This window comes from Homo sapiens, chromosome 1 (assembly GCF_000001405.40).
Source record: "Homo sapiens chromosome 1, GRCh38.p14 Primary Assembly".
NCBI lineage: Eukaryota > Metazoa > Chordata > Mammalia > Primates > Hominidae > Homo > Homo sapiens.
Genome location: NC_000001.11, coordinates 197,092,598 through 197,106,660, shown reverse-complemented (window position 1 = coordinate 197,106,660; position 14,063 = coordinate 197,092,598). Strand labels below are relative to the sequence as shown.

The window sequence follows — 14,063 nt, the reverse complement described above, 5'->3', positions numbered from 1 at the left end:
AATAAGCAAAACTGTTAGGAGAGGAGATGATCATATCTTCCATGTTATATATCAACATTGATTAACATTTCAGTAATGGAGTAGTAATAGTAATGTAGAAAAAGTGATTATTAAAGTATAAAACAATCTGTACACACTGATTCTTCAATTTCTTAGTTTGAGGATTTTACATAGAAATATCTGTTGGGGGTGGGTGCTCAAAAGAAAAATAATATCTGAATTTCTGAGTACTATTACTGCTTTACTTTGCCCTAATTTAAAGCAAGTTAATACTTTATGTAGAGTTTATTGTTTTCAAAATACTTTTGTACAAATAAGTTTGACTGTTGTTGGATAAATATTTTGACAACTTGTGCATCTCTTCTTGGTAAGATAAAATGTATACAATCATTTCCTGTCAGGTTGAAGAGTATGAACAAAACCTCAGGTAACATTTAGTAGAGGAAGAAGACAATAAAACTTACAGGAAAAGGGTCAGGAAAAGGGATGTGCATGTTCTCCTTAAGCTTCCTCACCCATGGATAGGTATGCTTAGGCCAGTGATAGCTGCAAGCAAACTCGATACTGCTATAGGAGAGCGAGGTACCCAGTCCCTATATTACTCTACTTATATGCGAGAAAAAGTAAGATGTAGTAGAGAACAACCTCTCCATGCCACCCCCAATCTCAGCAATGTTTGGAGTGTTTGTACAAAGGAATGGTCTTATTGCTAAAACATCTAGAACTTGACTACCATTAGCCTGGGACCATTTTAGATACCAGCAACTGGAATTAGCTTGAGAGTTTGTAGCTCTTTTTGTTGAGCCAACATACAGTTGGATTAGCCATTGTAACCATGGCTTTTCAAAAGACAAAAGTTTTGTCATTTCTCAAGTCTTTCTAGAATTCTACTTTTAAGCCATGTATTTATAGTTCCTAAATTTGGGAAAAGGAAGTAATTTTATTCTTAATGAAAATAATGACTCTGAGAGTGATCTGGTTTATTTATTCCTAAATTCCTATATTTATATTATCAGGCCTGTAATGTGATAATGCAGGATCCTTCACATAAACAGTTTCTAGTCATTATAAGGTAGCTTAGAAACATTGAAGTAAGGGGACCATATAAGGCCCAGAAATAAACTCATAGGAAATTACTTAGAATCAATAGATAGCAAAGAATATTACTATAGTTTTATTTTGACTCTTTTGCTTGTAATATAACATAAACTTGCTTATGTTTCTTATGATTCTGGCATACAAATGCAGTATTTAAATATAATGAAGATTTGGATGGATTTCTGAATTGGCTACAGGTATATCAATGTAAAACCTAAACTAAAAACAAAAGAGACAAATATCTCACAAAAATAATTAGTTTTCTAATTCAATGTGTTTATTTTTAAGCAGAATGTTAGAAAAATTAGTATTTTGAAAAGTGTTAAATATAGAAAGCTATGCCTATTTTACTTTGTGTCCTTTCTTACCTTTTCCAGGGATATTGGAGAAGATATTCCACTAGACAAAGATTTCTGAAATTGAAATATTATTCAATCATCCTGCAATCTAGGATAAGAATGATAATTGCTGTTACATCTTATAAACGATATCTTTGGGCTACAGTTACAATTCAGAGGCATTGGCGTGCTTATTTAAGAAGAAAACAAGATCAACAAAGATATGAAATGCTAAAATCATCAACTCTTATAATCCAATCTATGTTCAGAAAATGGAAGCAACGTAAAATGCAATCACAAGTAAAAGCTACAGTAATATTGCAAAGAGCTTTTAGAGAATGGCATTTAAGAAAACAAGCTAAAGAAGAAAATTCTGCTATTATCATACAATCATGGTATAGAATGCATAAAGAATTACGGAAATATATTTATATTAGATCTTGTGTTGTTATCATTCAGAAAAGATTTCGGTGCTTTCAAGCCCAAAAGTTATATAAAAGAAGAAAAGAGTCCATACTAACCATCCAGAAGTACTACAAAGCATATCTGAAAGGAAAGATTGAGCGCACCAACTATTTGCAGAAACGAGCTGCAGCCATTCAATTACAAGCTGCTTTTAGGAGACTGAAAGCTCATAATTTATGTAGACAAATTAGAGCTGCTTGTGTTATTCAGTCATACTGGAGAATGAGACAAGACAGAGTTCGATTTTTAAACCTTAAGAAGACTATTATCAAATTTCAGGCACATGTAAGAAAACATCAACAACGACAGAAATATAAGAAGATGAAGAAAGCAGCTGTTATAATTCAGACTCATTTCCGAGCTTATATTTTTGCCATGAAAGTTCTAGCATCTTACCAGAAAACACGCTCTGCTGTCATTGTGCTGCAGTCTGCATATAGAGGGATGCAAGCCAGGAAAATGTATATTCACATCCTCACATCTGTTATAAAGATTCAATCATATTATCGTGCTTATGTTTCTAAAAAGGAATTTTTGAGCCTAAAAAATGCTACAATAAAATTGCAGTCAACTGTTAAGATGAAACAAACACGTAAACAATATTTGCATTTAAGAGCAGCTGCACTATTTATCCAGCAATGTTACCGTTCCAAAAAAATAGCTGCACAAAAGAGAGAAGAGTATATGCAGATGCGGGAATCTTGTATCAAACTGCAAGCATTTGTTAGAGGATACCTTGTCCGAAAGCAGATGAGGTTACAAAGAAAAGCTGTTATTTCACTACAGTCTTATTTCAGAATGAGAAAGGCTCGGCAGTATTATCTGAAAATGTATAAAGCAATTATTGTCATTCAGAATTACTATCATGCATACAAAGCACAGGTCAATCAGAGGAAGAACTTCTTGCAAGTCAAAAAAGCAGCTACTTGCTTGCAAGCAGCTTACAGAGGTTATAAAGTACGCCAGCTAATCAAACAACAATCTATAGCTGCTCTTAAAATTCAGTCTGCTTTTAGAGGCTATAATAAAAGGGTAAAATATCAATCTGTGCTTCAATCTATAATAAAGATTCAGAGATGGTACAGGGCGTACAAGACTCTTCATGATACAAGAACACATTTTTTGAAGACAAAGGCAGCTGTGATTTCCCTCCAGTCTGCTTATCGTGGCTGGAAGGTTCGGAAACAGATTAGAAGGGAACATCAAGCTGCCTTGAAGATTCAGTCTGCTTTTAGAATGGCCAAGGCCCAGAAACAGTTTAGATTGTTTAAAACAGCAGCATTAGTCATCCAGCAAAATTTCAGAGCATGGACTGCAGGAAGGAAGCAATGTATGGAGTATATTGAACTCCGTCATGCGGTACTGGTGCTTCAATCTATGTGGAAGGGAAAAACACTGAGAAGACAGCTTCAAAGGCAACATAAATGTGCTATCATCATACAGTCATACTATAGAATGCATGTGCAACAAAAGAAGTGGAAAATCATGAAAAAAGCTGCTCTTCTGATTCAAAAGTATTATAGGGCTTACAGTATTGGAAGAGAACAGAATCATTTATATTTGAAAACAAAAGCAGCTGTAGTAACTTTACAGTCAGCTTATCGTGGTATGAAAGTGAGAAAAAGAATAAAGGATTGCAACAAAGCAGCAGTCACTATACAGTCTAAATACAGAGCTTACAAAACCAAAAAGAAATATGCAACCTATAGAGCTTCAGCTATTATAATTCAGAGATGGTATCGAGGTATTAAAATTACAAACCATCAGCATAAGGAGTATCTTAATTTGAAGAAGACAGCAATTAAAATCCAATCTGTTTATAGAGGTATTAGAGTTAGAAGACATATTCAACACATGCACAGGGCAGCCACTTTTATTAAAGCCATGTTTAAAATGCATCAGTCAAGAATAAGTTACCATACAATGAGAAAAGCAGCTATTGTTATTCAAGTAAGATGTAGAGCATATTATCAAGGTAAAATGCAGCGTGAAAAGTACCTGACAATTTTGAAAGCTGTTAAAGTCCTTCAGGCAAGTTTTAGAGGAGTAAGAGTTAGACGGACTCTTAGAAAGATGCAGACTGCAGCAACACTCATTCAGTCAAACTACAGAAGATACAGACAGCAAACATACTTTAATAAGTTAAAGAAAATAACAAAAACAGTACAGCAAAGATACTGGGCAATGAAAGAAAGAAACATACAATTTCAAAGGTATAACAAACTGAGGCATTCTGTAATATACATTCAGGCTATTTTTAGGGGAAAGAAAGCTAGAAGACATTTAAAAATGATGCATATAGCCGCAACTCTCATTCAGAGGAGATTTAGAACTCTAATGATGAGAAGAAGATTCCTCTCTCTCAAGAAAACTGCTATTTTGATTCAGAGAAAATATCGGGCACATCTTTGTACAAAGCATCACTTACAGTTCCTTCAGGTACAAAATGCAGTTATTAAAATCCAGTCATCATACAGAAGATGGATGATAAGGAAAAGGATGCGAGAGATGCACAGGGCTGCTACTTTCATCCAGTCTACTTTCAGAATGCACAGATTACATATGAGATATCAGGCTTTGAAACAGGCCTCCGTTGTGATCCAACAGCAATACCAAGCAAATAGAGCTGCAAAACTGCAGAGGCAGCATTATCTCAGACAAAGACACTCTGCTGTGATCCTTCAGGCTGCATTCAGGGGTATGAAAACTAGAAGACATTTGAAGAGTATGCATTCCTCTGCAACCCTTATTCAGAGTAGGTTTAGATCATTACTGGTGAGGAGAAGATTCATTTCCCTCAAAAAAGCTACTATTTTTGTTCAGAGGAAATATCGAGCCACCATTTGTGCCAAACATAAATTGTACCAATTCTTGCACTTAAGAAAGGCAGCCATTACAATACAGTCATCTTACAGAAGACTGATGGTAAAGAAGAAGTTACAAGAAATGCAAAGGGCTGCAGTTCTCATTCAGGCTACTTTCAGGATGTACAGAACATATATTACATTTCAGACTTGGAAACATGCTTCAATTCTAATTCAGCAACATTATCGAACATATAGAGCTGCAAAATTACAAAGAGAAAATTATATCAGACAATGGCATTCTGCTGTGGTTATTCAGGCTGCATATAAAGGAATGAAAGCAAGACAACTTTTAAGGGAAAAACACAAAGCTTCTATCGTAATACAAAGCACCTACAGAATGTATAGGCAGTATTGTTTCTACCAAAAGCTTCAGTGGGCTACAAAAATCATACAAGAAAAATATAGAGCAAATAAAAAGAAACAGAAAGTATTTCAACACAATGAACTTAAGAAAGAGACTTGTGTTCAGGCAGGTTTTCAGGACATGAACATAAAAAAACAGATTCAGGAACAGCACCAGGCTGCCATTATTATTCAGAAGCATTGTAAAGCCTTTAAAATAAGGAAGCATTATCTCCACCTTAGAGCAACAGTAGTTTCTATTCAAAGAAGATACAGAAAACTAACTGCAGTGCGTACCCAAGCAGTTATTTGTATACAGTCTTATTACAGAGGCTTTAAAGTACGAAAGGATATTCAAAATATGCACCGGGCTGCCACACTAATTCAGTCATTCTATCGAATGCACAGGGCCAAAGTTGATTATGAAACAAAGAAAACTGCAATTGTGGTTATACAGAATTATTATAGGTTGTATGTTAGAGTAAAAACAGAAAGAAAAAACTTTTTAGCAGTTCAGAAATCTGTACGAACTATTCAGGCTGCTTTTAGAGGCATGAAAGTTAGACAAAAATTGAAAAATGTATCAGAGGAAAAGATGGCAGCCATTGTTAACCAATCTGCACTCTGCTGTTACAGAAGTAAAACTCAGTATGAAGCTGTTCAAAGTGAAGGTGTTATGATTCAAGAGTGGTATAAAGCTTCTGGCCTTGCTTGTTCACAGGAAGCAGAGTATCATTCTCAAAGTAGGGCTGCAGTAACAATTCAAAAAGCTTTTTGTAGAATGGTCACAAGAAAACTGGAAACACAGAAATGTGCTGCCCTACGGATTCAGTTCTTCCTTCAGATGGCTGTGTATCGGAGAAGATTTGTTCAGCAGAAAAGAGCTGCTATCACTTTACAGCATTATTTTAGGACGTGGCAAACCAGAAAACAGTTTTTACTATATAGAAAAGCAGCAGTGGTTTTACAAAATCACTACAGAGCATTTCTGTCTGCAAAACATCAAAGACAAGTCTATTTACAGATCAGAAGCAGTGTTATCATTATTCAAGCTAGAAGTAAAGGATTTATACAGAAACGGAAGTTTCAGGAAATTAAAAATAGCACCATAAAAATTCAGGTATTTCTATATTTAATTTAAATATAAAACTGTGAGTCTTTCTTTTGACCAATATTTGTTAGAATGTATAAAATGAGCTTAAGCAGGTCATAAAGAATAGTACTTAGTTGAGGTGACCATTTATCTTCCAAAGTGGAACATTTTTGAAAGAGGGAAAGGGCACTAGTAAGTCAGCCAAGACAGCACAGAACGGGGATTGTTCTGGCCATGGTCACCCTATGTGTGGTGCATTTCAGTATGGGTTAATTGTAGCACTCTTAGAAGAATTTTGAGAAAATAGGAGTCCTGTATTTGGCAAAGTTATTTCTTTAAGTGGAAAATATAAGCTAAGATAAAGTATTATTTGGCATAATATAGGCAAAATAGAGTAACTTTGTTCCTCTAATAATCTATTAACCAGAGCTGTTTGCTGCTTAGGCTAGTAGACATACTTTATTCTGAGTGTTTAGTACTTTGGCTTCCAAATCAATTTTGTATTATTTTGTTTTGTCTATTTGCCAAATGTGTGAGGAATGTACAGTATTATCTCTTTTAAAATATGAAGGAAGTGATAAAGTTTAAGTAATTTGGCCAATGTTGCATAGAGAGAGGCAGATCCAGGAACTGAATCTAAGTACTTCAGCTATTTCTTTTTACCTGCAATAACCCAGGCTTTAACCCAGATGTGATATGTTCATATCTTACTGGATTACTGTTAAATTTAGAAATAATGTTTTAATTCAAGAAATGTCAAGTGCTAGAAATGTGCCAAATGCTGTAGTGGGTGTTATAAATAGACAATGAGTAAGATATACTTAGTTGCTGTCCTCAAGGAACTTAATTGAACAAGGAAGTATAATTATAATACAACATGAGAAGTGTATGTTTCAGGAAACACAGAATGGGAAATCAAGCTAGTCTCCATGGTCAGAGACTTCCCAGAGTGAGTAACATTTAAGTTGAAATGTTACACTGAAGTATGAATTAGAAATAGCCCAGTAAAAGGTATAGAAGAATATTCCAATTGCAAGAGATAACGTGGAAAAATCAAAAAACTAGAAACAATAAAAAGTGATATGGGACCAGGTTGGCAATAGAGGGAGTAAGATTGTGGATAGATTTTTAAGACAGAAAAAATTTAGTCTTTATGCTCCAGACAAAACAAATTCTAGAGGAGTTTAAGCAGGAGAAGACCACAGTCATTTTTATTAAAAAAAAAAAAAAAATTACTCTGGCAGGAATGTGGAAGATGGACTGGAAAAGGAGCAAGACTAGAATCAGGTAGACCAAATGAAAATAGGCAGTAAGCCAGGTGAGAAAGAGTTATAGTTCAGTGTAGGTTTGTGACAATGGGATTGTAAGTTGGCATTATATAGAGCATGAACAAGGAGGCAAGCCATGTTGATGGCTTAAGTAACTCAGCAGAGTTACTCCCTCACACCCTGACATAGGGAATAAAGAGGGAAGAGCAGGTTTTGAGATTGATGATGAATTCAGTTTGGAGTATATAAGATCTGAAGTACCTAGCAGGTAACCCCCTTGAAATATCTAGTAAGGCAGTTGACTATGTTTGTCTGGAGTTCAGGAGAGTAGTGTGAGTATTAGAATTTGATTTGTACATTATGGGCATATGCTAATAATTAAAGTTCTGGGAATAATGAGATCACCAAGGAACAATACATAAAATGAGTGAACAAAGAGGGCCTGGGACTTGAGCCCTGAAGAACATCAAAATTCACAGACATTGACAAGAGAAGCCAACAAGGTGTTAAGAGGGAAAGAAGAAAGGTAAGAGATTAATGGTATCAAGAAACCAAGGTGTTAAGAGGGAAAGAAGAAAGGTAAGAGATTATGGTATCAAATTCCTAACACTACTGAGAAGTTCACAATTGAAAGGTGTTCATTGGATGTATTAGTTATGGTTTTATTCACTTAAAATGATTAAATAGCCAAAATAACAATCTTATAAAAATTTTTTTCTCTTACATAATTACATAATAAAATTGTATTTTACACATATAATTTTTAGCCTATGCCAGTGGTCTAAAACTTTACTGCATATTGGAGTCACCTGGAATTTTAAAACATACTCCTACCTTTAGATATTCTAATTGGTATGGGAAGCAACACAAGCGTGGGATTTGTTTCAAAGCTCCCAGGTGACTCTAATGAGCAGCGAAGTTTGGGAGCCACTGGGATATAGTATACATTACTAAATACTTACATATATATGTAAATATGTATGTTTTATATATATATATATATCAACTTCTCTGTAGCATTTGGGATTTAAGCACACTTTGTTTCTTCTCTCAACCCTTGGTTTCTTGATACCATAATCTCTTAGCTGTCTTCTTTCCCTCTTAACGCTATGTTGGCTTCTCTTGTCAATGTCTGTAAATTTTGATGTTCTTCAGGTGTGATGTGTGTGTGTGTATATATATATATATTTGTAAATATATATATACACACACGTATATCTATACATATATATAATTTTCTCATTAAAACTTTGTTTTAATGGGTCTCAAAATTCTGTGACAGATTTTCGGTCAATTTGTTTTCATTAAAAAGTACTGATTTTAAAAACTAGTAACTTATAACTGCCACAAGCAAAACAAAAACAAAAACACCAAAATGGTCCACAAAACATTCTCCTTTCCTCCTGAAGGTTTTATGATGCAGTGTTACCATTAACCAGTCTTTTACTGTTACAGTTAAATGGCCAATTGAAACAAACAGTTCTGAGACCATTCTTCTACCACTGATTAAGACTGAGGTGGCAGGTATTGGGGATATACATAAATAATGTATGCAGATTTACATAAAAACCGTATACAATATAGTCTGAATGAGTTAAGGTCATCTCAGAGTAATTTTGGCCATATATAATTATTGCATTATCAACTGAATTTAGAACCTAATCTAAATATACGTTGTGCCTATAGTATTTGTTGTGCTGCGGGATAATTAAGGAATCAGAGAGACCGAGGGATTTGAGGAGGAATTATTTAATTATTTATGTGCACCGACCCAGTCGGATTAACATCCAAAGAGGACTGAGCCCTGAACAAAGAGTCAAGCTACCTTTTAAGCATTTCGTGGGGCATGGGGAGATCTGTGCAGGGGGAAGCGTATTACAGAAGAGAGAAACAAAGACAGTTATTCAAGTAAGAGATGCATTACATTATTTCTTACTTTTTAAGGAACAACATGTTTTACAACTTGAGATTATCTGTCTAGTGTCCTTGCAGCTGCACAGCTAGAGAAACAGTCTTCACAATGCCTGGGAAAGGGAGAGATAAGGCTCACTAGCCACAGAGAGAAAAACACAGTTAATTTTAAAGGACTCCAGCCCTTTCTCTTCCCAAGGGGAATTGGGTTTTCTTACATACAACTGAGTTTTTGCTTACACAGTCTTTAATTTCTTTTAATTCCTCTTCCTGTAGGGATGTTGGAGTCAAATAGACTTGGGTTCAAATCTTGACTCTGTCACTTAACAGCTATATGCTAACAAGTCCTTCTTAATTTCAATTTTGGATTTTTTTCCTTTTTTATAAAACAGAGATCTTAACCATTTTATAAGATATTTATAAATATTAAGTAAGACAACTCTGCCACTTATTAACCTGTGTGACATCAACAAGTTACTCAATTTCTCTAGGCCTTGATTTCCTCATCTCTAAATTAGAGATAATAGTATTATCTACCCATGTGATTATTAAGGACTAATCTTCTTAGTGCTTAGTTCAATAAGTTGTAGCTGTCATGTAAACCTTTAGTCTTCCAGAAGGTTGTCAAAATCAGAAAGTCTGACAGTCCTATCACAGGAGCTCTCAGGATTCTCCTGCAGGCTGAACACAGAACCCAAAGTGAATATGGATTGGGAAGAATTCCTCTTTCTCCCCAGAACCTGCAGTAGGTCAATGTGTTCATTTTCTTTTCTTCCAAATGGATTGAGGTGATGAGGATAATTTACATAATGTGGGGCTTTTCAGACATGTGTGTCTTACAATTTATAAATACTGGTTAGGGTTTTGTTAGGCTGGGCTGGCAGCCAGCCATAAGGTATGTGTGATAAAGCACATAATACGTGTTCACTATAGTAAGCACCACTGTTCTCAGAAGACTCATTACATGTCAAAGTCTAAAAGAGTCATGATATGACTATGCAATTTATTTTTGTCTGCACTAACCTTATTTTAACTGTCTTTATACTGATTTGTCTTATTTACAAAAAAAAAGAGACAACTCATTGCATACTTGTTATATTTATGTATTTAATAGGCTATGTGGAGGAGATATAGAGCCAAGAAATATTTATGTAAAGTGAAAGCTGCCTGCAAGATTCAAGCCTGGTATAGATGTTGGAGAGCACACAAAGAATATCTAGCTATATTAAAAGCTGTTAAAATTATTCAAGGTTGCTTCTATACCAAACTAGAGAGAACACGGTAATGTATCATAGTTCTGTGGAGAGTGTAAAAGTATTTGTGTGTGATAGCTAAGTCTTTACATAAAATAACACTGCTTATTGATTTTTATTTTAAATATTTGTTATGCTTAATTTATATGGTTGGTTTTGTTGATATTTTCTTTATTAAGGAAACAAAATACATCTCTCGTACTGTCTTGCTTTTTTGAGATAGAGCATAGCCTTTAATTAATATAATCTAAAAATATTATATACTTGATTAATTCAGGTTCATAAGGATTAGAGTAAGGACAGAGACGTAGGAAGTGAATAAAATCATTTAGTTAAGACTTGGTTTTCTTATTAGTGCTTTGGGCCATTTTGCTGGGTGACTTAACTACTGGCAAAATTTGTTTTCTTACTCATTCTTTTTTTCTTTGAACTTTGTATTATTCCTCATACTCTTTGTCATTAATGATGAAGACCCTAATTACCAACCTGTCTATGCTAATTGTATTTCACTATTCCTAGCTTATTTCTCACACACACATTTTCAGAAGCTGTTACCAGATCATCTTTTTTTAAGTTCATAGTATAAGAATTTTTCTTCAGCTCCCAGAGTTGATGAATTATTGAATCAATGATGGTTTTAAAGATGGTTTAGGAAGGCACACTAGTGTGAGAGGAATTTTTGGATGAAGCCCATGGGTAGAAGCAGGGCTTAACATATACAGTTGATCGCATGAAGATAGAAGTAGAATGTTGGTTACCAGAGGCTAGGATAGGGAGAGGGGAGGGGTGGATAACGACAGGCTGGTTAATGGGTACAAAAATACAGTGAGAAGGAATAAGATTTACTGTTTAGTAGCACAATAGGGCAACTATAGTTAACAATAATTTATTGTATATTTCAAAATAACTAGAGGAATAGAATTAGAAGTTTCCTAATAGAAGGAAATGATAAATGTTCGAGGTGATGGATATCCCATTTACCCTGATTTGATCATTACTCATTGTGTGCTTGAATCAAAATATCACATGTACTCTGTAAATATTTACAACTATTATATATCCATAAAAATAAAAATTAAAAAGCATATAAAGATACAGTTGCTACTATCAGCTATTAAGGACCAGTATCTAATTTTCCTGTAACAGATGCTGAATTTTTCTCAATGGTGTTTGGTCCTATTTTCTAAGAAACATGGCAACAAAACAAGCTACTCATTGTACTTTTTCCACATTATCAAGAACAGAGTAGAAAACCTGTCCATTCTCACATTTTATCTCTTAGTATTATGTTGATCCCTAAAATTTAATCTCTAGTGCTCAGATTTTTTAAAATTTTTCTCCAGTTCTGTTTACGAAATATCTCTACTTAGATATTTTGATGATATCTATTTTTCCTTTCAAATGAAAGGAAGTACCTGATGCTGCTTGTAATCACATTCTCTTCTTAACCACCTCCCGTCTGCTCAAAGACTCACTTGCCATGCAGACTCAAATCTTATATTTTACCATTATTTCTACCATTCCCCCTTTATCTAGTTTTTGTCTAGATCTGGGTAACCATACTTTATTTTGATCCTGTTCAAAATTCTGTGCCATATTAGAATCGTAGAACTTCATATTTCTTACCCACTGGAATATTGCCAATTGTAAAACTTCTTTCGTGTGCGTGTGTAAATTCTGATTGTTAGAACTTAACTATGAATTATACTTGCCCACTTTTTAAAATTCTGTCATTGCCTTTCTTATATTTTATTCTCTTCTAATATTTTAAAGGGGGGGAGGCAATAAATACTCATTGAATAAGTTAAAGTAATTTGACATTGCTTTCCAATAACTACTTTTTAGGTTTTTGAATGTGAGAGCATCAGCAATTATCATTCAGAGAAAATGGAGAGCTATACTTCCTGCAAAGATAGCTCATGAACACTTCTTAATGATAAAAGTAGGTATTAAAAATTAATTCACTTGCAAATAACTACTTTAGGAAATAGAAAACAAAGAATGTTTTGTATTTTTTAATTTTTAAAAATAAATCCTTCGCTGGAAAAAAAGTGTTTTTAAGACCTAAGTATGCATTTATTTCACACACATCTATTTCAGTCAATTAAAAATTATATTCTCCCATAAAAATACTATTTGCTAGTTTTTAAAAATATATAACTGTACAGGCATACCTTGTTTTATTGTACTTCGCTTTATGGTGCTTTGCAGATATTGCATTTTTTATAAATTAAAGGTTTCTGTCAACCCTGTGTTGAGCAAGTCTGTTGGTGCCATATTTCCAGCATCATGTGCTCACTTTGTGGCTCTGTCTCATTTTGGTAATTCTCACAGGTTGTTACGTAATTGAGGAATCTAAGGTGTGCTAGTGGTATGCTATGTTTTTTCAAGCTACAGACAGCTTCTGTCATAGCTATTTATGATCACCGTGCTCTTTCTATTGTAGCTAGCATTTTTATTAAATGTATTTGTCCTGTAATGTTAGTCCTTTTCCCTCTCACAATGAAAAGTATCAAGAGGATGAGAGGGAAAGAGCACCAGGTATCTATTGACCCTTGACCCTTGGCTTACACCTTCATCTTGGCTATAGACCTATGTGAGTTTAGAAATAATGCTTCATCATCATTTCATATCTATGAAACATGGCATTCTTAGACTATAAATCATAATTATGCCATCTCATTGAGAAATTCAAGAACTTCTAGTGGGTTGGAAATCTTTTTCTTTCTACCCATTAATGTTACTTGTAAATTTTTCCTTATAGAGACATCGAGCTGCTTGTTTGATCCAAGCACATTATAGAGGATATAAAGGAAGGCAGGTCTTTCTTCGGCAGAAATCTGCTGCTTTGATCATACAAAAATATATACGAGCCAGGGAGGCTGGAAAGCATGAAAGGATAAAATATATTGAATTTAAAAAATCTACAGTTATCCTACAAGCACTGGTGCGTGGTTGGCTAGTACGAAAAAGAGTAAGTATTTTCAAGTAGCATATCTCATTCTTATAAAATGAAAGCACTTGATGTTAAATAGTGTTAAGAAACTTTGGATTTTAGAGAATAATTTCAGAACTAATATGACCATTAACTTGAATTAATTCAGCTGCTAGAAAGGTAAGTGACAAGAGCACTGACTGTCAAATTTTTTTTCTCTGAACCTAGTCCTACTATTTCTCACAGGGGTTCACCACCAAAGACGCAAAATAAAATTTCTCTTTTGTAATGAATCTTAACAAAGGAACTGAAAATATGAGAGAGAGGCTCCATATGTGAAAGAGGTTAAATGTTATTCTAGTAGCTTTTTGCCACCACCAAGCAACTTTTGAGGTGTTGCAACCAGCATTCCTGTGACAGCTTCCACATCTTCAGCAAGAGAGAATTATTTTTAGGGAGGTCATGATATTCAAGCTTACAATATGTGAAGTAC

General features: G+C 34.3%; 1 protein-coding gene across 2 annotated transcripts in view; it reads left to right on the top strand.

Annotated features, from left to right (window-relative positions):
- Positions 1–14,063, top strand: part of ASPM (assembly factor for spindle microtubules) — a 62,543-nt gene that overhangs the window by 40,009 nt on the left and 8,471 nt on the right. The window contains exons 18-21 of one of the 2 annotated variants that reach the window (NM_018136.5): positions 1,476–6,230; positions 10,497–10,663; positions 12,481–12,577; positions 13,400–13,609. In NM_018136.5, coding sequence (NP_060606.3) covers positions 1,476–6,230; positions 10,497–10,663; positions 12,481–12,577; positions 13,400–13,609 — 5,229 coding nt within the window. The remainder of the gene's footprint in view (positions 1–1,475; positions 6,231–10,496; positions 10,664–12,480; positions 12,578–13,399; positions 13,610–14,063) is intronic. The other variant, NM_001206846.2, reaches the window with a different exon arrangement.